This window comes from Homo sapiens, chromosome 15, assembly GCF_000001405.40.
Source record: "Homo sapiens chromosome 15, GRCh38.p14 Primary Assembly".
Taxonomy (NCBI): domain Eukaryota; kingdom Metazoa; phylum Chordata; class Mammalia; order Primates; family Hominidae; genus Homo; species Homo sapiens.
In genome coordinates, this window is record NC_000015.10 from 60,680,774 (window position 1) to 60,706,897 (window position 26,124).

Here is a 26,124-nt window from a genome sequence, read left to right on the forward strand (position 1 = left end):
TTTATATGGCAGCCTTAACCTATACAAGAAGAATGTAAATTATATTTATTATAGCCAATGAAGATATACCAATCAATTAATAAACACATTTTTATGGAGAAAAGCTTAGAAGACACACTCCTGACACAAGAGCAATATTTGTTAAAATTGCATTACAACTGCTTAATTATGGAGATACGACTGTGCATGATATTTAATTTTTTTTAACCTAGCCATTCTGAAGACAGAAGTCTATTTCCCTAGAGAAAGTGAACAAACAAAAACAATACAAACACACAAAAGGCAAATTTAATGAAAAAAATCAGAAAATGTATTGGAATTCTCTTTGATCCTCTGAAACCTAATTTCTCCATAGAAGCTCTAGTACTTCATAGTAAATGATTCCATAGAAGTACCAAAAAAAGCAGAAAACATCCTTTTCATTTCACAGATGGGGAAACTGAGGCTCAGGAAAGTTTAATTGGCATAATAAGACATTTCTCTGTGGAAAGTTATATTAAACTGGAAGTACACTCATGGCAAATCTTTAAAAACACTAGTGTAGATGTACCCTCAAAAGAGTAAATACTCAAAAAAGTTTTACTCCTTGGAGCATACCACTCAGCAGTCAGCTCTGTAAATAATTTAAACCTATGGGAGTGCCCTCAGCCATATTTAAACCAGGAAGACTCATCCTGAGTTTGGGTGAAAGATGTACTCAGATGCTGATGCAAACACACAGAAACCACAGTCCCTACTACTAGAAGAGCATATTGAATTGAATCTAGAATGTTCCGGAATATTCTAGAACATAGTATTCTGCCAGGAATCCAGCTGACCGAATTACCCACACTTGCCCACCTTAGGCCTTCATTCGCAGCAGGCATGTGTGCCTGGGTTTGTTACCAGCAGCCATTTTCTCACCCTTAAATGAGGGATGGGTCTCCCCTTTTCTTTTTCTCATTTTCCTAGAGGTTACAAGATTCCTGTTTTTCTCACCAGGAGGAGAGGTCAGCCTCAGTGAGCTCATAGCAGTCATACATTGCCAGTGTTTTTCCTCAAGTGGAAGGAGAAAGGCCTTCAGAAAAAAAATCGTATGCAAACCTAGTGCTACCACCAGCAGTAGCTCTGAATCGAGATTTTTGGGAGAATTAGGCTTACTAAAGATAAACTACAATAAGTCTCAAGGAAGCAAATAATTCTGATTCTAATGAGGAATCCAAGAATAAAGGCAGCTCTTAAGGTAACTAGATCTGGAGTCAAGCTGACCTGAGCTTGCGTGTATAGCCCATTTTCCTGCTTCTAGGTTGAGAGACCTTGAACAAGTTACTTAACTTTTCTAGTCCTGAATTTCTTGGTTTTTAAAATTGTATACAATCATGATGACACTTAAAAGACTGTTGTGAAAATTAAAGGAAATAAGGATGTATGAAGAGCTTTACAAATTGGGAAGTGTGACACAAATGACTTTGGTAAGGGGTGAGCAACTCACATAGTATTAGTTTAACCAAACTGAATTACCATGTGATAGTGAAAGCTATGCCATTGCTACTCATGATGTCCCTCAGTTTCATACTGACTCATGGCCTAGGACTCTGGTTTTCAGACCAAGTACTCTGACTAGAAAATATCCTCATATTTGATGGAAGACAGCATGAGACGGAGAACCAAGTTCCTTAAAGTAAGTGTACTCTATTCTAGATCCCAAGCTCCATTCGCTTTACTCTCTAAAGTCTAGAGAAAGAGCCTGGTATGGTGGTGGGTACCCGTAATCCCAGCTACTCGGGTGACTGAGGCAGGAGGATAGCTTGAGCCCAAGAGTTCAAGTCCAGCCTGGGCAACACAGTGACACCCAGTCTTAAATTTAAAAAAATAAACAAAAGGAAGCTGCCTACTCACTAGCAAGTGGCTGCATTATCCAAGTGGGCTGCTGATCAGCACAGGCAAGGACTTTGGTCCCCACTACCGAAGGGCATCGAACCAAGTCCAGCTGTTGTGCAGGTTTTGATTCACTTCCAAATGACTGGGAAGAACACCAAGATCCTTCCCCAGAGATTCACAAACAGACCACGAGCAGGGTAATGCTCTCTACAGAGATAGGGACTTGATAGAATTGTGGTGAATGACGGGGTGGAACCAAGTTTCTAAACCTAAAATACACATACACCCTGCGCCCAAAGTGAACACGGTGGATGACTTGGGCAAATAATTTAGCTTCTCTGGGTCTTAGTTTTCTTATATGCAGAATGAGGTAGTCAGTGACATTTTTTTTCTTCCAGACAGGTTCTCAGTGTGTTGCCTGAACTGGAGTGCAGCGGCACCATCATAGCTCGCTGCAGCCTTGACCTCCCAGGCTCAAGCCATCCTCTCACCTCAGCCTCCCTAGTAGCTGGAACTACAGGCATGTGGCACCATGCCCAGAGAATTTTTACTTTTTTTGTAGAGATGGGGGTCTTGCCATGTTGTTCAGGCTGATCTTGAATGCCTGGCCTCAAGCAATCCTCCTGCATCAGCCTCTCAAAGTGCTGGATTAAAGGCGTAAGCCACCTTGCCCAGCCAACATGATTTCTTAATTTCCCTTCCAGTTCATCAACCAATGGCTCCTTGCCCTGCTTCTAAGCTATCAAGCCAAACCACATCTTTCCAAGCAACAGGCTGTCAGATCTATTTCTCACTGTAAGAAATCCAATGTGGCTCATAATCAAAGGTAACCCCCTGAAACTTTTTTCTTCTTGCCTTTAACAACCAAAGAAGAAAAAAGACAGTGCCCACAAAAGGTTATATAAGTAAAAGATGCACTTTTCTTGGGAGATCTTTAAAAATTATCTGGGCTAGAGAAAAATGGCACCTTTTGATAAAGCTGTAAGACTCCTTCTATTTTACCCAGATACACATACACACACACACACACACACACACACACGGCAGGTGTATTTCCAGATTTCCAGGTAATGCTTGAGCACAATTTCTAACTTAACAATATGACAGAAGTTTTAAATTGCCAATTAAACCCCTAAAACTAAGAGGGCTAAAAGGCCCCAAAATATTCGGTCCAAAGCAAAGTTGAGCTTCTAATACAGCAAAAATGCTTGACTCTCTTTAACTGGCCATGCTTCAAAGTAAAGCAAAGGAAATGTCATGAAAATATCACAGATTTAGCCCTGCCATGGTTATCAGTAGGGAAGTTTCATTATAGTCATCCCAGAACAGAGCACTTCAGGAATGTAAGCTGGTATTTCCCGTCAGTGCCAAATCTTGGACCAGTTAACTTTCTTGACTGACTTCTAATTGTCTCTTGGTTTTTAGGAAATTGTCTGGGTATCCAGTTAATTTTACTTTTTTTTCTTTTTTTTTTAGTAAGAGGTGGCATTTTTCCTCTTCCCAAATTTTGCAATTACCAAACCAGCATTTCCAGAGGCCTTGTATCCTGGACAAGGCCCTAGACTTGATGCCACTCTGCCACTTTGCCAGTATTCAGCCTGTGTGTCTTCTTTTGTCCTCTTTTGCAACGAGAAAACAACTTTTGAGATAGAGATATTATAAACATGAAAAAATTCTGTGTTAGCATTAAAAAACGAACAGGCTGGTCATGGTGGCTCACGCCTGTAATCCCAGAACTTTGGGAGGCCGAGATGGGTGGATCATGACGTCAGGCATTTGAGACCAGCCTGGCCAACATAGTGAAACCCACAGTCTCTACTAAAAATACAAAAAATTAGCCAAGTGTGGTGGTGGGTGCCTGTAATCCCAGCTACTCGGGAGACTGAGGCAGGAGAATCACTTGAACCTGGGAGGTGGAGGTTGCAGTGAGTTGAGATCACGCCACTGCACTCCAGCCTGGGCGACAGTGCGAGACTCCATCTCAAACAAACAAACAAACCACTCAAAACCATGCCATGTAGATTTCCTTTTATTTTAAAAATATGTCAATATTTTTACTTTGCAAGTGAATGTGGCAGGGAGGAAGAGATGTGTTGAGTGATAATGAACAAAGTCTTGAATTGGCCCAACTCATGTCTCTACACCAGGCTTGCACATTGACTCCTCCTTTAATTCCTAGAAAAGCAGGGCTCCAAATCTGAAGGCTTTCACAAGATTTATTCTCCCTCCCTGCAAGATGTCTGAGTTAAAGAAGACACCTATTATTTAAGCTATGAGCGCTTGGGCAAATATAGCTTAACTTCTCTGAGCCTTTCTTTTCTTATTCCATAAAATGGGAATAAAATTCTTAGGACTAGGTTTATAGTAAAATGTAAGATAATTCACGTGGGGCACAGGATATAGTACCTCTTTCCTACTAAAGTATGTTTCTTATTGCATACACCTTGTGAATCCACTTTATATTAGACAAACAGAGAGACAACCCTTGACTGGACATAGGCAAAACCCATTAATCCTGTTATTAAACGGGATAATCCGGGAAGGCAGCATTGGAGAGCTAAGGAAAGAATTTTCCAAATAAAACCCAAACACTTAACCCACTCCCTGCCACATTCTCAACAAGCATGCTGCAAAGGCTGTGGTCTCCTGGATCCGCTGTGCTCTCCTTACTTCTTTTTGACTTCCTCATTGTGAGGCGCTAGCAGTTAAAACGGCAAATTTACACGCAGTGCATGAACACTAGCTAAGAAACGAGGCCTAGAATTTAGGCTTCTTTTTTGAATAGCTAATAATTGTTTTCTAAAGAAAAAATATCACTTTGTGCTGGCCTTATGTCCCCCTCCTCCTCAATCCTGAGTTGTCCCAGGAGACTGCTCCATTCTACACATAGTCAAAAAGAAAATCTATGCACGAGGCGGATCCGGAACACAGCCCGAGTAGGGCCTCGCCAAACAAAATGATGTTACAAAACAATGTCCTTGTCTAGGACAAAAGAACTATTAATGATAATCAGTACATATTACTGAAAGTGCTCCAAGTAATCTTTGGACTTTGTTTCAAAAATTCTTAATGGACACTAATGCTTAGAGTTCACTCAAAAGAGAAATAAATTATGTGCCAGGGTTGCAGGGACCAAGGACAACACGTGGAAGGCATCAAAGCATTAGCAATGTTACGACAATCAAACATTTTGTAATTGCATAAAAAGCCTTTAAAAATCATTTAGATATACTAATTATGAACATTAATAATACTATAATGGGAGGTTTCTTTTATGTTCGATTTGAGCCTAGGTTGAGCTGTTTCGGCAATAATATTTCAGCTCTTTTACCAACCAAGGTGCTTTGGACGCCATGAAAAATATTCCATTTTAGTTTGAAAAATGGTTATGGGAATGGATAAGAGGAATTTTTCCTGTTTTTTGAATTCAAAAAAAAAATTTGTGATTGCTCTCCATCTCTAGGTCATATTTCCTGACATTAGTGCCCAGAAATATCTTTTAATTTTGGACAGGCAGACCAGAAGTATGCCCTCTTTCAAGTCCTGCCTTTATCTTTAACAAAACAGTTCCAAGGACAAAGCCTCATTCCGGGTTCCCCAGCAAAGGCAACATAAAGAGACCATCAGTCTATCAGAGAAAGAAATCTTCAGACAAAACTTATTTGGGAAACATCCCTCTTCTCAGAGATTACTATTCAATGCACTACGAAAAGTCCATATGTAAGGAGGGCAATTTCTCTTGTTATTTACTCGTCCCAAAGTATGATTAGTACTTATGTATAGTAAGAATCATAAGAAGCCTTATTTTTTCAAATTGATTTCCTTTTATTGAGTGTCTGTATGGAAGATGATGCTATCCATTCGATATTACCTGGTTGATTTAAATTTGATCTTGGAGCTCTGAGGGCAGAGGTGTGAACTGATATCAACACTTTCAGCTTAGCCTTCTAGAATTGAGCAGTTTTATCTTCTAAGTGAATAATTCAGCTCAGGTAAACATCAGCAGCTTACACCATGCTTTTCCAGAAATGCTTTACTTTATGTGCCTCTGCAATCTGTTAAATCTGTTTATCTTTGTCACTCATATGGGCAGGTACGGAAGTGAACTGTCTGTGGGTGACTTGCCTGGATGCCGGCTATAGCTGCAGCCCCCAAAGTCGAAGCTACCAGAACAGGTTGGATGAGGATGGCCCAAAGATTATGGAGTTGCTGGCCCCAAAGCAAGTCAGACACTATGGGAAGTTTGCATGAATCATGCCCTTGGATAGACAACCTAAATCATACCTCATCGAGCATGGATCCTGGTCAGCATACCAAGTCAAGGCAAGTAAAGACTGAAGAAATATCACCTGGTCTGCAGCTCCCCCCAGAACGAAGTCTGCTACTGATGGCAGAAGCATAGATAGACCAAGGGTATCACTATGTAATGATGGAAGAAGGAAAAACCCCATGCATTCACTCATGTCTTGAATCACCTAGAGAAGAGAGGGAATCTGCCAAAGTGGACACAATAGAAATTCAGTTCTAAATTTGGAGGAAATGAGGCCCACTCTCAGATAAGATGAAAAGTAAAAGCCCTAGGATCCAATGGGGTATTAAACAAATATTTAAAAGTAGAGAGGTGGTGACCAGTTATTTCCTGATATATAGAATACCATGGGTCCATAAAGAATTTTTTAGAGTATCAATATTATTAACACTTTGAAGAAGACATATGAAAAACTGATTAAATTATAAATTAGGAAATCATAGATCATTACTATTTGTAGCCTCTCTACTCCCCTCTGATTACAGAACTTTAGGCAGTTTGTCTGGATTGGTGATTGCTGGATAAAAGCTCAAGAAAAGAAAGTAGCCATCAAGATACTTCTCTTGGGAGGCCGAGGCGGGCAGATCACTTGAGGTCAGGAGTTTGAGACCAGCCTGGCCAACATGGTGAAACCCCATCTCTGCCAAAAAATACCAAAAACATTAGCTAGCCATGGTGGCGCATGCCTGAAGTCCCAGCTGCTCAGGAGGCTGAGGCACAAGAATCACTTGAACCCAGGAAGTAGAGGTTGCAGTGAGCAGAGATTGTGCCACTGAACTCCAGCCTGTGTGACAGAATGAGACTCCGTCTCCAAAACAACAACAACAAAATACTTACCTTGCATTCACAGATTTTATGAAGAAAAGTTTGGTATTGTTAGATTAGATGTACAAGCTATGTTCCCATATGGGATTTTAGAATCAGGAAATCTGGATTCTTTTCCCAGCTCTGCCACTTACCAGCTATATAATTTGGGGCAAGATACTCTCTCCGATCCTCAGTTTCCTCATCACTAAAAGGAGAGGAAAAAGATTTCTTCTTTCATTCTAAAATTCCACCACTAGAAATTTTAGGAATTAATCATGAATATACACAAGAGTTATCATAATATTATTTATATCAGCAAAACATTCAAGGGAACACCCAAATATTAGCAGTAGAGGATGGCAAATAAAGCATGATATGTTTACCAAATGGAAGGCGCTACCATCATTAAAATAAAGAAAAATAAATCAGAGACAATGATGTTCCAGCTGCATTATGAGAAACAAAAAAATTCAAAGTCCCAAAGCATAGTATATCATTTTGTCAAAAAAGGAAAAAAAAATGTATAGAAAAAAGACAAAAAATACATACACCAAATTAATGAGAGTGATTATGTTTGGGTGGAGGAATTATGACTGATTTTTCTTTGTCTATGTTTTCTAAAATTTCTATAAAACACCTGTACAAATAAAATTATAATAATAAGAAAGAAAAGTTAATATTAAATAACTATTCCACAAGGTTACTGTGAAGATAAAATGAAATAAAGCAAGGCAATGTTGACCTAATATTAGTTTTTAATATTGCAAACATCTCTCTGTGACTGTTAGGAGACCCAGTTTCCTATGGCAAGTACTAATTGCATTATCCTTTCTAGAGAACCCTATGTGAAGTCTGAAGTGAAAGTGTGATAGCATAGCTGGCTACTTTCAGGAGTGCCCTATGGTGATGGATAATCTGATAATACTTGCCAAAATGGTAATCATAACCAATATGCTGATAAAGGTCTGAAAAATAAGGCTTGCTTAGTACCATGTATTTTACACAGTGCTCGAGAATGCAGTGAGAGACCCAGGGGCTGACTTGGGACAACTTTTGACTCCTAGGAAAACCACCACCCTTTAGCTACCACACAGGTGTTTGCCTAAGCCAATGACTATAGGGCATATGACTACAGTGTCAACACATACCAGCAACCAAAGGCCTGTGGAGACCTCTGCAGTACAGGTGCTACCTCAGAGACTGATCACAAAATCCTCAAGGCAGGAGTGAGCCCTTTCATCAGGACCTCCTGATAAATCTCCAGGAGTTAGTGCCCTGTAATACAAAGAGGATGACCTCTGGAGTCAGAAAGACCCAGGTTGCAAGCCCAGTTTCACCTACCAACTAGTCGTTTCACTTGAGGCAAGCTACTTAGCTTGAGCCTCAGTTTCAATATCTGTAGGATGGAAGTAAGGATACCTTTTTCATGAGGCTGTTGTGATTATCAAAAGGTATAGGCAGTGCAAAGCTGAAAGTGGTCAGCTGTCAGTGAATTCTATTATCTAAGCAATGTTATCTGATGGCAATGCATCTTACAGGAATGCATTGGAATGTTCCATAGAGAAAGGAAGGAAAAAAGGCCCATATGTCCTTGGGATGAGACACTAAGGTGGCCCCGAGCTTCAGAATAAACTATGGGTTCTTTTGGAGATTGACATACCTTGTTATATTTTGATTGATTTCAACTAGCACAGTTCTTCTCTTTTAAATTATTCTTTTTCCATTTGTCTTTTTTTAAATTTTAGTTTTAAAAAGGTTGTAACGGGTTGAGTTGCATCCCCCAGAAAGACATATTCAAGTCCTAACTCCTGATACCTGCGAATGTGACCTCATTTGGAAATCATATCTTTATAGATATAATTAAGATGAGGCAATACTGGTCCAGGGACCAGTCATCTGAATACTTAGACTAAGTATTTAGATTTAGTCTAAATTTAATTACTACTATCTGTGTAAGAGGAAGGAGAGGGAGATGTGCATTCAGGGACACAGACAACACATAGAGAAAAAGGCCACATGCAGATGGAGGAGGGATTGGAGTGACATAGCTATAAGCTCAAGAATGCCAAGGATTTCTAGCAACTACCAGAAGCTAGGAGAGAGGCTTCAGGAACTTCTTCCCTAAAGCCTTCAGAGGGAGCAAGGCTCTGCTGCCACCTTGATTTTGGGACTTCTAGCATCCAGAACTGTGAGAGAACACCACCATCCTTTAGCTACCACACAGGTGTTTGCCTGTGCCAACGACAATTGGCGTAAAACAATTTCTGTTGTTTTAAGCCACCCAGTTTGTGGCACTTTGTTACCACAGTTCCATGAAATTACTACAAAGGTCCAGGAAATGTTATGAGTGTAAGGTGTCTGGCAATAATACTCTGGGGTCCTCCAAAAACAGAGTGCAGTTGTTTTCTTGCTGCCCCACCAAATCCATTCTCCCATTCCTCCAGGGCAGTCAAGTTTTAGATGGACACATAGCCATCCAGTTAGAGGCTGTAATTCCCAGAGTCCCTTGCAGCTGGGTATGGCCAAAAGACTAGATTCTTACCAAGACATGTGACCAGGAGGGGTGTGTGTAACTTCCATGTCACTTAAAAGGAAGCTGTTCACTCTGGATATCCTTTCTCTCTCTCTTCCCATGGACTGGAACTTGCATAAGGCCATGACCCAGCTCCAGCCATGTGGGCAAGGCCACCTTTGGAGACAGGAGAGAGCACCCAGACAGGACCTGTGAGCAGAGCTTCCTTGGCAGCCTCCACTGGCTTCAATACCACAGGAGAGAGAAGCCAGCTTCTACCTCATATAAGTCACTGTGTTCTTGAGTCTCTTTGCTACAATAGTTTTCAACCTTTACCCTAACAAAAACACAGGGTTAGGAAATAACTAGTTTATAGATTAAAATCCCCAAATGTTAGATCTGGAATAGACTAAAGAAATTGTACCTTTCCCTGAAAAAGGACAGCAAACTGGGACTCAGAGGGATTAGGCAACTGTTTTCAAGTCAGCCAGCCAATTAGGAGCAGAGCAAAAAGTAGCACCCTACACAGGAGTGGCTCTGTGGGCTCTGAGGCCTGGACGCGTTGAAGTCTTCCTGTTACCATACAGGACACCTCAACTGGACCCAGGAACAATTTCACTAGCCTTACTTAGAAGCTCCATGTAAGCCAGAGTGACTTTTTGAACTATAAATCCGATCACATCAGTCCCCTGCTCAAACTCCTTCCACAGTTAAGAGGGTCCTACATGATCCGGCCTGCCTGGTTCTCCGACCTAGTGTCTCCCTCTCTCTCTGTCTCACCCATCTCATTCTTCCACACTAGCCATCTTAAATTTTCTCTAAAGCTCTAAGCTTGCTCCAGACTCACATCCTTTCTGTTTGTAGTTCCCTCTGCCTGTATCACTTTCCCTCCACTTCTCCGCAGGTCTCCTTCACATCCATTCAGATCTTTGCTCAGCTCTCATCTCCTGCTAGAATGCTTCCCAGCCGGCTTATCCACATTCGCTCTCCCTGCCCCCCTCTCCATTTTGCTTTACTTTGTATCTTCACAATAGTTCCCTCCTCCTGACATTCTATGATACAGTTGTATGTCTTCCCAACAATTTCAATTCTTGAAGCAGGGACTTCCCATCCTTGGTATACCACTGTATTTGTGATGCCTAGAATGGTGCCTGGCATATAGATACTCACAAAAAATTGTTAACTGAGGATCAGAAAAACTTGTTAAGTGAATGAAGTTGACTCCCCAAAGCCACACATCTAGTTTACCAATAGTGACTCCAAAGCTCCTGGAAGTGTGTAGAGAAGACAAGAGGAGCATAGAGGGTGAGACAAGTGCTAACTGAGAAGGTCGGGGACATCTAAAGAGAGGTTTGCACAGCTGAAGAGAAACTGGAAGGCTACATACAAAGAGTGAGAGGGGAGAGAACACACGCTAACCCCAGGACCCAAAGCAAAGGTCAGGCAATCAATAGAAAAGTTAAAATGGCACTGTTAAACACTTGTGATAAAATTGATTTGGTCATTACCAGAGCTGAACACAGGGCATGCATGCCTCATCTGTTAGAAAGATCTTTATGATCTTGTTAGCAGATCCCCAACCCAGAAGCTGTAAAGGTTATAACCCAACTTGTAAAACTAATCTCATATTGGCTCTGGGATAATAAAGAATCTGCAGAAAACTTTTTAGTTAACCATATGCTACATACAGCAAGAAGCCAGGCTTGTGTGGCTGGCTTCTCCTACATGGCAATTCAGGATAACTCTCTCATTTCTGAGATTGAGAAAACTATTTTGGAAACAGTGATTTCAATATGCATAGTTCTTAGATACAACAGCTTAGAGGTTAACTTGAGTTTAACAATTTCTCTCCTATTCAAAGTGATTTTATAATAAAAAGTCAGCATGCCATTCCCATTGAATTAAGCTGGGATCAGTTGGAATAGTAGTTTGGCAAAACTGTTTTTGCCAGATTTTTAAAAAAATACACTTTATTTTTAAAGATAGCTCTGTTTTATATTTGCATAATCCCAATTGTAAATATTTAGTTTATTATTATTATTACTTAATCTGTGAATTTTGGGTCATTCTTCCTAAATAAAACAATGCAGCATCATTTCTTGACTAATACTCTTTTGGACCACATGGCAGGTCTGTGGGGTAGTACAGAAAGGAAAAATGAGTTCACGCTACATAGCAGGTCCAGAAAACAGAACACAATAGCAATCACAAAACATTTCTAAGCAGCCTTGTAAAGGAAACAAGGGAGAATGTGAGAGCACTGGGCATTTACTTTTGAGCAGGATGCATGCTAAAATATGTAAAGATGAAATGATATGATGTCTGGGATTTGCTTTAAAATGCTTTAGCAAAGGGAAACAGGGATAGATAAAGCAAGTGTGACAAAATGTTGGTAAGGCTGAATCTGGGTGTTGGGTATAGGGCAGTTCATTCCACTGTTGCCCCTCTTTGCATTCATGTTTGAAATTTTCATAATAAAAAATTCAAGCCAGTAAGGGCTGGCTGGAAAACTTTAAAAAGAGGTTCAATCTCTCTAAAACTGTGTGACTGATCCCAACCAAAAGAAAGCCCAGGACCAGATGGATTTACAGCTGAATTCTACCAGAGCTACAAAGAGGAGCTGGTACTATTTCTTCTGAAACTATTTTAAACAATTGAAAAAGAGGGACTCCTCCCTAACACATTCTATGAGGCCAGCATCATCCTGATACCGAAACCTGGCAAAAATACAACAAAAAAAGAAAACTTCAGGCCAATATCCCTGATGAACATTGATGCAAAAATCCTCAATAAAATACCAGCAAACTGAATCCAGCAGCACATCAAAAAACAAATCCACCATGATCAAATTGGCTTCATCCCCGGGATGCAAGGCTGGTTCAACATGTGCAAATCAATAAATGTAATTCATCACATAAACAGAACTAAAGACAAAACCACATGATTATCTCAGCAGATGCAGAAAAGGCCTTCAATAAAAGTCAACATCCCTTCAGGTTAAAAACTCTCAATTAACTAGGTGTTCATGGGACATACCTCAAAATAATAAGAGCCATTTATGACAAACCCACAGACAATATCATGCTGAATGGGCAAAAGCTGGAAGCATTCCCCTTGAAAACTGGCACAAGACAAGGATGCCCTCTCTCACCACTCCTATTCAACATAGTATTGGAAATTCTGGCCAAGGCAGTCAGGCAAGAGAAAGAAAGAAATATTCTTTCAAATAGGAAGAGAGGAAGTCAAACTGTTTGCAGATGACATGATCCTATATCTAGAAAACCCCACTGTGTTAGCCCAAAAGCTTCTTAAGCTGATAAGCAACCTCAGCAGTCTCAGGATACAAAATCAATATGCAAAAATCACAAACATTCCTATTCACCAACAGTAGACAAGCAGAGAGCCAAATCATGAATGAACTCCCATGCAGAAGTGCTACAAAGAGAATAAAATACCTAGGAATACATCTAAGAAGGGGAGTGAAGGGCCTCTTCAAGGAGAACTACAAACCACTGCCCAAGGAAATAAGAGAGGACACAAACAAATGGAGAAACATTCCATCCTCATGGATAGGAAGAATCAATATCATGAAAATGGCCATACTACCCAAAGTAATTTATAGATTGAATGCTATTCCCATTAAACTATCATTGATTTTTTTTTCACAGAATTAGAAAAAACTACTTTAAAATTCATATGGAACCTAATAGGAGCCCGTATAGCCAAGACCATCCTAAGCAAAAAAGAACAAAGCAGGAGGCATCACGCTGCTTGACTTCAAATTATACTACAAGGCTACAGTAACCAAAACAGTTGGCAGCATGTTTTCAATCTACTTTCTGATTTCCTCATCTCCCTCTGTGAAGTAAGTAGTGAAGATACTGTTGGATCCATTTTGCAGTGAGGAAATTGAGTGTCAGAAAGGTGGAGGGGCATGTTTAAGGTCAAATGGTCCCTGTAAGGCAGAGCTGGGCCAGAGCTCAGTCAAAGGTTTTTGTTTCAGTGGCCATTAAACTTATTTCCTCCTCCTCCTGACACTGGCCCAGTGATTTAAATGCTCCTCCCATGCCCACATCAAAAGTCAAAGGTACCCGGCAAAAAGCACGGAAGATGAGCATCTGAATTCTGGCTCAAGAGCTCCCTGTGGTCTCCATGCCTTGCAGCGTTAACTCTTTCACCAATAGGCTCTCCTAGCTTTACATTCTGGTTGTCCCTTCTCATTTCGTACAGTTTGGATTTGACAAATGAGAGTTTCGATGGTGTATTGTTGTGCACATAACTGCCCCTCCGTTCTACCCACCTTGTATTTGTGAGCAAGAGATATAACCAGGACTGGAGGGGCCTCGCCCAAACCTCGAGGACACTCCTCACTGCCAGGGTGACAGACTGGACCCTTATGTTATTGTATTATCCAAATGCATGTGGATCAATCCTGCCACACACAGCCAAGTGTTCCCTTGTCTTTGCTTTTCCCCACATAATGTAAAACCAGCACTCTCAAGGCCTTTACAAATTGGTAAATCAACCCATATGCAGCGAGGTCACTTTAGTTACCTCTAATTTCAGAGCTGTCACTAATTGGTCCCAGAATCTCTTTAAATTCAGGTCTACAGGGCCAGAAAGAAGCTTGAAATTATTTGAATACCTCATTAATGGACAACGTATGAACAATTTGATCTTTCAGCGCAAAGTGGGATTTATTTGTCTATGAAATCTCAGGCTTGCCATCTACCCCCGGTTGACTGCATAATTGTTCTTGCTCTGCCCCACGTTAGTCAGGCACTATGTTAGGTGACAGGGAAACAACGGCAGACAAGATAGTAATGATCCCTGTGCCCATGGTGCTTAGGAGGAAAGGCCTATGTATGTATTCTAGTACCAGCCAAAGCCTCTGCTTAGTGACCCAAATTCCACTCTGCCCATACATGTTGCATCAGCCCCACCCACGTTCCTAGAAGCCATCTCTTCTCCCAACACTGCTCTTCATATCCACAACTTTAAGGAGCAAAAAGTATTTTAGGGACACTGAAAAAATTCAGGCTACACTAACTTAGCCCAACCCTTAGCATGTTCTCTTTTCGTCTTTGTCACTTGAGACCCTGTTGACTTTTTTTTGAGGGTGCCAATATCCATCCGAGTATGTACATGCCAGGGACCTCTTCTTGGCTTATACATTTCCTTCTACAAACATCTTGATTTTTTTTTTTCACTTGCATTTCACCAGATCCTGTTACAGGATCTAAATATTCCAAATAATTCTTACAATTGCTATATGATGAAGAGAACGGATCCTGTTACTCTTTATTTACGTACATAAAACCCGTGCCTCAGTTTCCAAGGTAACAGAACAAAGAAAACAAGTCATCACCCTGATGCCAATACGGACGAAGGTCAGACAGCTTTGATCTCAGACACCAGGCACTTTTCAGCCAGCGCAACATTCTCATTTTTCATGATTCCTGCCTCGCGCCCCCACGTCCCCACAGCTATGCTTCCTGTGGCTTACTGAAGGGTGCTTTAAATATGGCTCGAGAAAGTACACGGAGGAAGCAAGTAAACTTTCAGGATTTTAGTTCCAGCAAATGAAGGCAAAAGTGACTAATCAGAGTGAAGAGGACTCAGTCAGGAGCATCAGTCGCAGAATGAATCAGCCTCAGCCGGCAAGTAATGGCACAAAGCACTGTTCCCGCGACCACCAAGCCACAGATAAACCACCGGCGCTTCAAAGAACTCCTACATCACTTATAAGCTGACAGAAGTCTTATTATTATTATATATTATGCTGAAACTCTGAGCCTTACTGTAAGTCATCATTTTATATAGTTTTCACAATGACAGTAAAATCCTGCCACAAGTGGCACTGTCAACTTTTCTATGAGCACTTTCTTTTCCTCACGGTGACATTCAAAGTTCAGAGTCTCCTTCATCTAAAGGAGCTGTCCTATCAGCTCGCTAATGGGAACAATTCATTTAACCTGCACTCCAAGTACAGCCACGGAGCCGAGTAAAATATGTATAGGATCCAGGGGGAATCGGTCCTCCCAGCTGGCCCCTCCTGCCATTTGATTCATTGACGAGAGTCCCACTTTCTTTCCACTTAGGCTGATTTACAGAAAAAAAAAAGACATTCCAGAAAAATTAAGTTAACTATTAGCCAAATCCCCTCTAGCTGCTGGCTTGGATTATATAACAACTCCCTAATTCCAGAAGCTAAGGAACAGAAGGCCAGCATTTTCTCTGATTTCCTATAGTTTTAAAGCCTTTCCACTCTACCCTCCTTTTCTCCCAGCCCACCGCACCACCACATCACCACATACGCCTTTGACAGTCTACATGGCTCATATTCCTCATTTACTTTAATTATATTGGGTGCTTCTGCTTACACACTGCAATGTATCCTGGCTTCATAAAATACTCACTTTATATGACCCTTGCTTGCTGCCTTTGACCCACTCACCGTGAAACACTTGCGGAGCCAAAATTCTAGGAAAAGCACCTGCAGTTATTAATGCATTAAACCAGTGTTCTGAAATGACTAAATGCATTATTTCTGCTGTAGAAGAAAACGCTGAGGTGAGGCCAGAGCAAAGGTAAAAGACCTGGTTTTCCTAAAATGGATATAGCCTTAGAGGCATTTATATTCTCGGAGGACACAGTCCTGATTCTTCTGATCATTTTTCAAATCGACTTAATGAGTGTGAGATGGCCTGCTCATTAAACTGATATAATAGGTAAATATCACCTGCATTTAGGGTGGGCAACAGAAAGAGGGCAACTGTTTTCTGGGATTGTAAAGGATTTGCAAATGGAGCAAAAATGCGGGCCTGGTTTCTGAACGAGGTTTATGTTCTGCTCTCACTTTTGACTGGCTGCCACAATACACAGGGCGAGAGATTTTTAAGCTTTCATGAACTAAAAGCAACGCCAATTGCTATGGATTGCTTTTTATAGAATTTCAAGTAATTTCACATTACAAATGTTACCTCTGCTTATGACTTCCTTAAAAGATAACCAAATGCCAAGCCCATTGGAATAAACATCTAGAGCAAAGAGCTACATGTACCCCAACAAACTGTTTTTTCAAAAGCCACAAGCCTAGGTTAGATGCTTTGTCTACCACACTGCCGCTCAAGTGAAGCCTCCCTTCTTCCATCTTCCAAGTACAGCCAAAACCCTAAACACAACCTTTTTAAGGATCCTTTACAAAGTGGATGTTAAAAGTGAACAAAACCTCATTGAACCATCTATTCTTCTTGCTTTAACCTGCAGAGTCATCTACATTTGCTATTTCCTTCAAGTCTACTTTTTTTTTTTTTTCCAAACACTGGAAACTTCAGAGCCACTCACACATTGCAGTAATTCTGCCTGCTTGCTCTACATAAAATAAGGCCTGCTCTTGGGTTCACACAATCAGGCCGGTTACTCAGTAGAATCCGTGGTCTAGGGTAACTCTGAAGAGACGTAAATTTCTAATTTTTATACTTTCCTCAAATTTCATATGTTATTTTTGTTATTTCAAAATCCAGTGCTTTATAATAAATTTATAGGGTGCCTAAGGGGGTCTCCATTCATATTACATGGTATCTCATTCACGGCTCCTCTGGGAGAGAAACACAGAGTTATACCTCTCAGTCAGCCAACAACACTTCCGCTTGTGAAGTTCCTATATAATAATGAGAAACGAGGCTCCTGTGGGTATCCCACACATGTGTGTAAAATAAACGCCTACAAAGTGAAAATGATGCCATGCTACACTTAAAGCAGGATCATGTGGGTAAGCTGGAAAAAACACTTCCGTGTCTGTAGTCGTGAAGTGATTCTGTATTTTATTGTAGACATTGTATCAAGTCTCAGTTTCAAGTGATTTTTATATATACTCCATGCTTCAGCTGAGATGTCTTCTGTTCCTCCTTCTTTCCAGGAGCGTCAGTAGCTATAGTCAAGTTTCAAGAATGGGGAATGCTGTGGGAGTGTGCAGGCAATGGCCTAAAAACAATAAAAAAGCCCCACTAAAAGCTGGCTTGCTTTTGATTATTACTCTGTCCTGACAATTCTTAGTAATGTCAGTGATAAAATAAATTACTGGGCCGACCACTCCCTAGCCTGCCCCTCGTTGACATGGCACTGTGAAAGCACTCCAATATCTTTCTTAAGAAGGATACATTATGATTTAAATACTGAAAATACTATATATTCACTGTAGGACATGTAGAAAAAAATTTTAAATGTTTTAATGGAGAATTAAAATTTACATTAACTCTACCACTTATTGATAATCATAGCCCTTTATGTCATAATTACTTTTTTGGTTATTAAAAGTAATTCTACTATAAATATCCTTGTTACATAGATTTCTTTTGGCATTTGTGTTTTTTTTTTTTTTTTTGGAAGTACATTCTTGAAAGTTTAACTTTTAAAAAGCATTGAATAGATATCATCGTGTCCTGTAAAAAGTGTTTACCAATTTATAATTCCTAGATTAGTGTACACCTGTCCCAATGCAGAACTTTATCATGAAAAATAAATCCTGATAATTTAACTGGCTAAAAAGGTGTCCCTTTAAAATTGACATTTCTTTGTTCATTTATGATGTTGTTTTGTCTGCATTTTTAAAAAATTTTGTTTTTGTTGTCTAAGTTTCTTGACTTTTGTATTTCCTCTTTTGTTAATCGCCTGTTCATAATCTTTGCTCACTTTTGTATTGTGGTATTAGTCCTTTACTACTTACTAATTTATAAGACTTCTGTATAGTTAATCATATGTTGCTTGTCTCCCCAGTTTTTCTTTTAAATTTTGTTTAGTTTGTTTCTTGTATATGTAAACTAGCTCTACCACTTATTGATAATCATAGCCCTTTATGTAATTTCTACCTTTTTGGTTATTAAAAATAATTCTACTATAAATATCCTCTTTAAAATATCCAATCTAGTAATCTTTTATTTATGGTTTCTGCCTTTCCTTGCATGCCTATAAGGACTTTATTTATTGCAAAAATATATTCACCTATACTTAAAATATTTTTATGATTTTACTTTTTATGTTTAATTTAAAAATTCAAATAAAATTATCTAAATATACTTTTTTCTTGCTCTAGTTTAGCTTGCACAGAAATTGTTTCACTCCACTTCTCAAGATTTGAATCTAAACAACACACCAACTATCTTATGTCTTTCTTTGTTCTCCCGAGAGGTATGTCACTGTGTCTGTTGTGTCAGAAAAAAAATCAGGATATCAAAAAGGCTTAGAGCCAAATTCTAGCCCAAAACATTTACATGTAGAATCTGAGTTAGCTCACCTCTTCTTTAGAAAATAAGGCCAACCATTGAGATTTGGGGCATCTACTTCTTAAATTTGTTTTTACTGAGTAAACCTGGGCAAGTTTCCTGACTTCTTTGTAAAATGGGGATTCTAATAAGAGAAGCACAGTACTGTAGCATCTATATTTAACACTTTCTGTAACAGATTACTGGTATAACAGGAAGTTTCACTTTTATCTTTATTGTATTTAGTTTTTGCCTGCCACAATAACTACTTATGATATTTTAATATTTACCAAGAGTTTTCCAAATAGGGCTGATTCTATTAAAAAAAAAAAGACCCCTTGTGCTATTTATACAAGCTTGTTTAGATTAGGATTATATTCCTGAAGCTAAGAGGGCTTCATTTGCTGATTTCAGACAAAGTACGCATAAAGAACATGAAATGACACTGCTGAGACTGTTCCACTAGTTTTCTGTTTTTTGTCCGGAAGGAAAGCCAGGGAGGTCAGAGAGACAGAAATTTCTTTGCAGAGAAGTCCACCCTGCCCAGATATGGGAATTGTGCTCATTAGGAGAAGTAGTGGGGGAGAGGACGCACATATTTTCTGAAAAAACTGGAGCATGGGAAGAATAATGTGCACACTGGCCATCAAATGAGATTTGAATAACAATTTACCACTCTATTCAAAAGTGTCTAAAATATAACAACCCCTCTTTATTACTCCCTTTTGCCAGGACATTTGCCATCCCAGAGGTACTAAGGGACAAAATTTTCAGCAGCAATGCATTCCTTAAAGAGAAGGACAGCAGGGTAGTTGACCTTCGATCCTGTCTGACCATACCCCAAATCCTTGACATCCTTAGCTTTGCAGAAACTGGAGGAAGCAGAGCCAATGTGATGATGCTTAAGGGAAATCTTTCATGCCACTGATAGGAAACAGGAATCCAAAGGACATTTTTAACTCATTCCTCAAAGATATGGGGATGAGTATAATTTACATTCATCCTCTACTTCATGACGGGGAAAGAACAGCCCAGTAGTCAAAGCAAGAAAGAAGTCAGGAATCTTTTCACTGGTGTATTTCATCAGCAATAAACGTTTCCCCAACAAAATGCTGTATTCAAGGCATCAAGGAAGTTACTTAATGAAGAAAGGCACCTGGCTTCTCAGCCTTTATAGCTCTCCAAATGTTCCATGTTTTTAAAGACCTCCAAGCTTTTTTCTGTTCCTTCTTCTAGGGATGCTCTTTCCTTTTTCTTGACTGAGCTAATTCCCATTTATCCTTCAAGATCCAAAGCAGGGCTTCACTTTGCCATCACACCCAGAGTATATTGGTTGTCTCTCCCTAGCACATCCTTAATCCAGCCTGCTGTGGTCTGTTGTGCAGGTTGGTCACAGTCCAAGGTCATGGGTGAAGGGATGGGTGGGGACATGTTTCATTCGCCGACTGCCAAGCCATGTGCCCTGGTTTGGGTTTGCCTCCACCCCGAGGAAGGAGGCACCTTTTAAAAATCACCCAAAGGCGGCCTACTCTTCTCTGCACTTACCATTCTCTTGTTTACTTGTCTGTCTGTTCACTACTCCCACCACGTACATTCATCCCTCACTATCTTCCCTCTCAAAGAATATAGAACATCACTCCTTCCAATTAAGTACACGGACAATATCTTTTATCTCTTGATCCTAAGCCCCTGCCATTGTGTCTGGCACATAATAGCTTCTTGGAAAATATCTCTTGAATATTTGCTGAATGAATCAAATGTGCCTTCAGGAAAGGTACAGCTTTATGCAAACACCTTAGCTTCCTAGAAGTAGTGTAAAAAAAGCTTCACATGGGCAAGAACCACCATGGATCAAAGGGGACTGAAGAAGTTAGGAGAAGTTTATGGAGGAAGTGAGTCAGTATCTCACAGGATCTCACAGAGAAACTTCTAACTGGGGATTCAGTTTCTCTCAATTTAGTGTCCGGTGAACAAAGGATTTGGAACTCACCGACGTACTGCCTCTGCTCTCCCCTGTAACTGTGAGAATGCATTCACTAGCTCAATCACTCACCGCAATATTTATCCATCACCTACCACATGCAGAACTCTGACAATGCCCAGGCCCTCCACCCGCAGCACAGGCTCCGGGGAGTGCCCTGTCCCCGACTCGGTCTGCTGTGATTTTTCCTGCCCTTGTCCTTGCGGGCCCATGCTGTTTCTATAGGAGAGAGAGGAACGGTGCTCCTCTCCTTCCGTATTGCAAACATGCTCACCAGTGACCTCAGAAGTCTGGAGGGAAGAGTGATGAGGCAGTGTTTTAAAAGGGCTGTGAGGTTATCAGAGCCTGTTACATCAGTCTTTGACTCTTCAAAGGCCTGGAATACTGTAAGACAACAGCAACTTCTCATAAAGGTCACATTTCTGTAATTCCCTCTTAGACCCTCCCGAGGAACGCTTAATTGATCAACTAACATGCAGGAAATGCTCTAAAAGGCAGTTTTCACAAACTGGTGGAGGATAAAGACAAGATCTTTCTGAGAGAGGTAGTTTAGGATTATAGCTGAGAGCACAGGCAGATGATGGAGTTTGAGGCTGGGATCAGTGCTTACCAGCGGTGGAACATTGGGCAAGTCACTTACCCTCTCAAAGCCTCGGCTTTCTCTTCTGTGAAACTGAAATAATGATGGTACTCTTCTCATAGGGTTGTAATTCGGCTTCAATGATCTTTTCTTTTTTTGAGACAGAGTCTCGCTCTGTCACCCAGGCTGGAGTGCAGTGGTGCGATCTAGGCTCTCTGCAACCTCAACCTCTGCCTCCTGGGTTGATGCGATTCTCCTGCCTCAGCCTCCCGAGTAGCTGGGATTACAGGCACGAGCCACCATGCCTGGCTAATTTTTGTATTTTCAGTAGAGATGGGGTTTTGCCGTGTTGGCCAGGCTGGACTGGAACTCCTGACCTCAAGTGATCCGCCCGCCTCGGCCTCCCAAAGTGCTGGGATTACAGGCGTGAGCCACCGCGCCTGGCCAGTTTCAAGGATCTTATGTCTGCAAACCATCAAGCAATGACCAGTGTGGAATGAACTCCTTCAAGGGTATGTGAATAACCTTAGGAAGTCACATCACTTATAAGCCAGTATTAATATTAATGTTACCTAGCTTGGAAAATTTTACAAGGATTAACTGAAACAATGCATGTGCAAGTGGTTGTCACATGGTAGGTCCTAAAAACGGTAGTTCCTTAAGATTACTGGCATGAGATTTTTCTATGATGCTATGTTTAAAACTTCATTCTTGAAGGCTGACTTTAACTCGGTTTGTTTGGGAGGAAGCCCTCTCCTTCCATGGTCACCTTGTGTGGAATGGGCCTTTTCCCTCTTGCCATTTTCATTCAAAATATCTGTGGCAGTGCTGCGGAATATTCCAATACGTCCCCTTGACCTCTATCCATAAACAGCCTTTCTCACAATGAGATGTTCCGAGTTTAGGAGCCTTGCTATTTTCAACAAAGAATTAATTGCAAAGTAATTAAGTTTAGAGCAAGGGAATAGATGAACCCTGTCTATCATAAAGGAACAGTGTGGATGGTGACATAATGGAGCAAGGAGACGATGCTTCAGATTAACACACACACACACACACACACACACACACACACACAATCTCTTTTCTAAAGCACACAAAGAAACCTCCCATCACATATATTGACAAGATAAATCTAAGCTGCTTAAAGAAGCACTTAATTTTGTTCTCATTAAGTCGCAGGGTTAAGGGCTTTACCCTCAACGCCCATGGAAGCAATGTTAGGTTTTCACCTTGGAAAGTTCTCTGAGGCCCTAAGTCCATTGACAAATATAGCACTAAGATGTGTTACAGAAAATTGCATCTGAAAGCCAGTTGCTTTGCTGGCCTCATTCCCACTTGGCTCTGTGTTCTTCAATGAACATAGAACGCACAGAGAACACCAGAGGGGCACACGTGTTCATCCCTCTGCCTTAATGCACACAAATTATGATCATCCCACTGTCTGATCAGCAGTGGATCTAAGGTGGGAGGGTGTGCAGCTTAGATGGGGACAGTCACAAGCCGGTTTTACTACTAGAGCTAGGAGGCTTAATCTTCTTAATAGCGATTAAGTTGATGCCACCCTAACATTTTCTCTGGTTATTTCAGGGACTGAGAAGGTGCCAGCTCACATCACACATCCTTTCTGATGATATGAATGGAGAAGTCTATGTCATAATTTAAGGTGCATTCTTACACATCCTGTGTTCTGATTAGAGCAATATATTGCCAGATACCTCATCTTTGCACCTGAAAACACAGTACCTGGGATTTAAGAAATATTTGAGCACTTGAAAGGAAGAAAGAAAAAAAAAAAGGAAAGAAGGGAAGGAAGAAGGTCTAGAAGGACACATACCAAAAATTTAACTGTGATTGTATCTAGTAATTTTCTTCCTTTCTACTTTTATGTCTTTTCCATAATTGTTATAGTGAGTATTGTTTTACTTTTATGACGGGTACAATAAAATGAACTTGATTTTGATCATTTACTAAAACTGCTTTCAAAAAACATCAATTCTAATACAACGTGCTTTAAAAGTCTTCATTACCCTCAAGGAATTTTACCTCTGACTCTAGGCAACACAGCCGTGACAAAAATGCGCCACTCCAAGCTTCAATAGACGAAGTCTAAAGTTAAGGTTTCTCCCGAGGTGTTTACATCTCGGCTCTTCTCTGGTGCTTTTTCATGGTTTGGTTTGGAGGTGAGTTGTAGGAGGGGCCACACCGGCATGCGGTTGCAAGGAGAGAAGGGTGTTGCTGCCCTCCCGGCATCACACCCATCCTAAGAGCAAACACAACCCACAAACTTGGGTGTCATACTGCCTGGGTGGCTCCCCAAAGGTGCTGGAGGCACACTCCTAGAGGGTGGGGCCGAGGAAGCTGAGATGCAAAAAAAATAAAAACAATGGCCAGGGCTCTGTTGGGCAAGGTTTTCTGTTGTCTTCTTTCTTCTTGCCCCTACTGTTCACAGTATTTGGCTAGGTTTTGCTTAAATCTTTCAGAGAGGAGTGTTAACCTCCCAAAATGAAATAAAATATAAAAGGAAATAAAATAAAAGCTTGAAAAAGATGACCAGGAATGCCATAGAAAGAACGTAGAGATAGAACTAAAGTTTAGGGTACTTCAAATGCGTAATCTAGGTCGGACGGGCACTGATTCACAGAATACTATATTAGAGACCCTCACAGCAAGCCTTGTTGGTTATTGATTCAGTTCCAGACCATGGTTACCTTTCGGTATTGTACAATATTGGCTTGAAGTGCTCCACGTTTGCACCCCTGACTCATATTGCTCTGGATGGTAAATGAGCTTGCACACGACATCACATTGCTCCCCACTCTGACCTACATTATGTTTTGCTGTGAATGAGTTTAATGGATTAACATCTGATTGGCATGAGCTTCCACGTGTGACTGCCGAGGGTTGGCAATGCTTTTCGTGAGCCCACAGAGGCATTGCAGACGTTTGCTCTGAGTTTTCGTCTCGAAAATTTTGCTTTGTGTTTTGTTTTGCTTTCCTCCTAGTAAGAGTATCGTTCTCATTATGACATTTTTGTGCCAGAAAAAAAAAAAGAAAGAAAAAGTGAGCAGTTCCCTACCTACACAATGAAAAACCTAGGTGGTTTTTATTGTTATCCAAAACACAGGGCATGCTGAACTGGTTTCATTTGAAGGCAGGGCTTGTATTAAATGCCAAATAAGGAATTTTTACACAATGTGGAAAATGAGGCAAATACAAAATGAATATTGGGTTGAGTTTTCCCTGAAATTTCTGTGGACTGGAGTTTGGATTTAAAATTTTCCACTCATAACTTACATTATCAATTTGTAGACTATCACCACAAGTATGTGCATAATGATGACCCTGTGATTTCTGAACAGTTACTTAACTACAATGGGATTTAATCAAAGGATTCAACAATTGTAGGGGCAAAAGGCCGTAAAATGAACAAACTTAGAACTGTAGAGCTGTCTTTACTATGCAATTATGATAAAGGTCGAGACAAGGCCATTTTCTAAAAGCAGAGAGGTGATTGTAGTGTCTATTTTCTTTGGTAACTAAGACCTTAAAAACAAGCTTCTGAAGTTATGGTTAGAATTAGAAATCCATCCCATTCCCTTCACCAACCAACCAACTGACATTTTTTTATTATTAAAATTTTTTAAAATATATATTCTGTTCTATAGACTGTAAGAATTAGGAAAACTGGGAGATAATTTCTCTAAAGGGAAGTATAATCTATTTGCTTAATGATCCTACAAGGAGCTAATAAGTATCATCTCTCTTAGAAATAATAATACTTTGCTTTTATATAGAATCTTTCTCCAAGGAGTGCAAAGTATATTACAGATAATATCTAATTAATCCTCTTAGGGTCCCCAGGTGAAAGGGAAGTGGCAGGTATTATGAAGGTTCATTGGCACCATCAGCATGTCTCAGGTGAGGAAATGGAGCTATAGAAAGCACGGTAAAAAGGGCACACGCATAGTTATTTAGGCTAGATCTGCGTGACCTCAAAGCACCGAATCCACCCATTGACAAGAAGAATCAATTGAGTTTGAGCAAAAAAACAGGATCGTTTGACTGAATGCTTTGCCTTTTCCACCAGCTGGGCTCATGTAGCATGAGTTTTAGTAGGTTTGCCAGTGAAAGAACCCACATTACCTGACTTCCAGCCTGGTGGCTTCTTCAGAAGGACAGCATGGGTAGTACGGATTGCTTCAGTTTCCCATTTGCTGCTTGACACAGCACCCTCAAGCAGCACATCAGCCATGTGGCTGTGGTTTGGTTTCTCATTGTCCTTTTACGTTTGGTTGCCTGGAGTCTGTCCATTGTTCTCTGCAAAGTGGGTCTGTATGGGGTATTTTGGGGGTGGGGCATGAAGGAAGGTAGTATGGTAAGAAAGGGGCAGGGGATTGAATAATCTGTTTTGGTAGCTTCTATCTGTTGAAGCAATAGGAGATACACTACAAGTCTACATCTTTTGTATCAAGATAAATCACAACCTGAGTCTTGAGAGAGGGAAGTATTTGTCCTGCTGCAAGTGCTGCTCCATTTCACTTTTAAACATTCCATGGGCCAAATTCAGCTTCCCATTGTCACAAATCCTCTCTGGAGACAGAAGCCCATACCACTGTCTTGATCAATACCTGATGAACAGGAAGAGAGTGCTTCTGCAAAGAGGGAGCAAACCTTAAAATAAAAGCCGAAGTAGCACTTCCTAAGCTTGAAACTCTTCCACTGACAAGCTCTCTGCAGAGTTGGGGCTCAGCTAAAATTACCTCCCAAAAAGGAAAAAGCCTCCAAGAGAAAATTCAGTCAAATTAACAA

The 26,124-nt window shown here is 40.5% G+C and overlaps 1 protein-coding gene and 1 long non-coding RNA gene across 5 annotated transcripts in view; one reads left to right on the forward strand and one right to left on the reverse strand.

The window, feature by feature from the left end:
* RORA (RAR related orphan receptor A) overlaps positions 1-26,124 on the reverse strand; it is a 741,019-nt gene that overhangs the window by 192,490 nt on the left and 522,405 nt on the right. Inside the window, exon 1 of one of the 3 annotated variants that reach the window (XM_011521875.3) lies at positions 25,459-25,791. The exons of the other annotated variants lie outside the window; for them this stretch is intronic. Coding sequence (XP_011520177.1) covers positions 25,459-25,567 — 109 coding nt within the window. The 5' untranslated portion in view covers positions 25,568-25,791. Of the gene's footprint in view, positions 1-25,458; positions 25,792-26,124 lie in introns of those variants that run through there. 3 annotated transcript variants of the gene reach the window in all.
* RORA-AS2 (RORA antisense RNA 2) lies at positions 796-6,476 on the forward strand. 2 transcript variants are annotated; one of them, NR_120318.1, is made up of 3 exons: positions 796-1,222; positions 1,586-1,660; positions 5,954-6,476. It is a non-coding gene; the product is annotated as an RORA antisense RNA 2 (long non-coding RNA). The 2 variants fall into 2 exon arrangements; NR_120319.1 differs by lacking the exon at positions 1,586-1,660.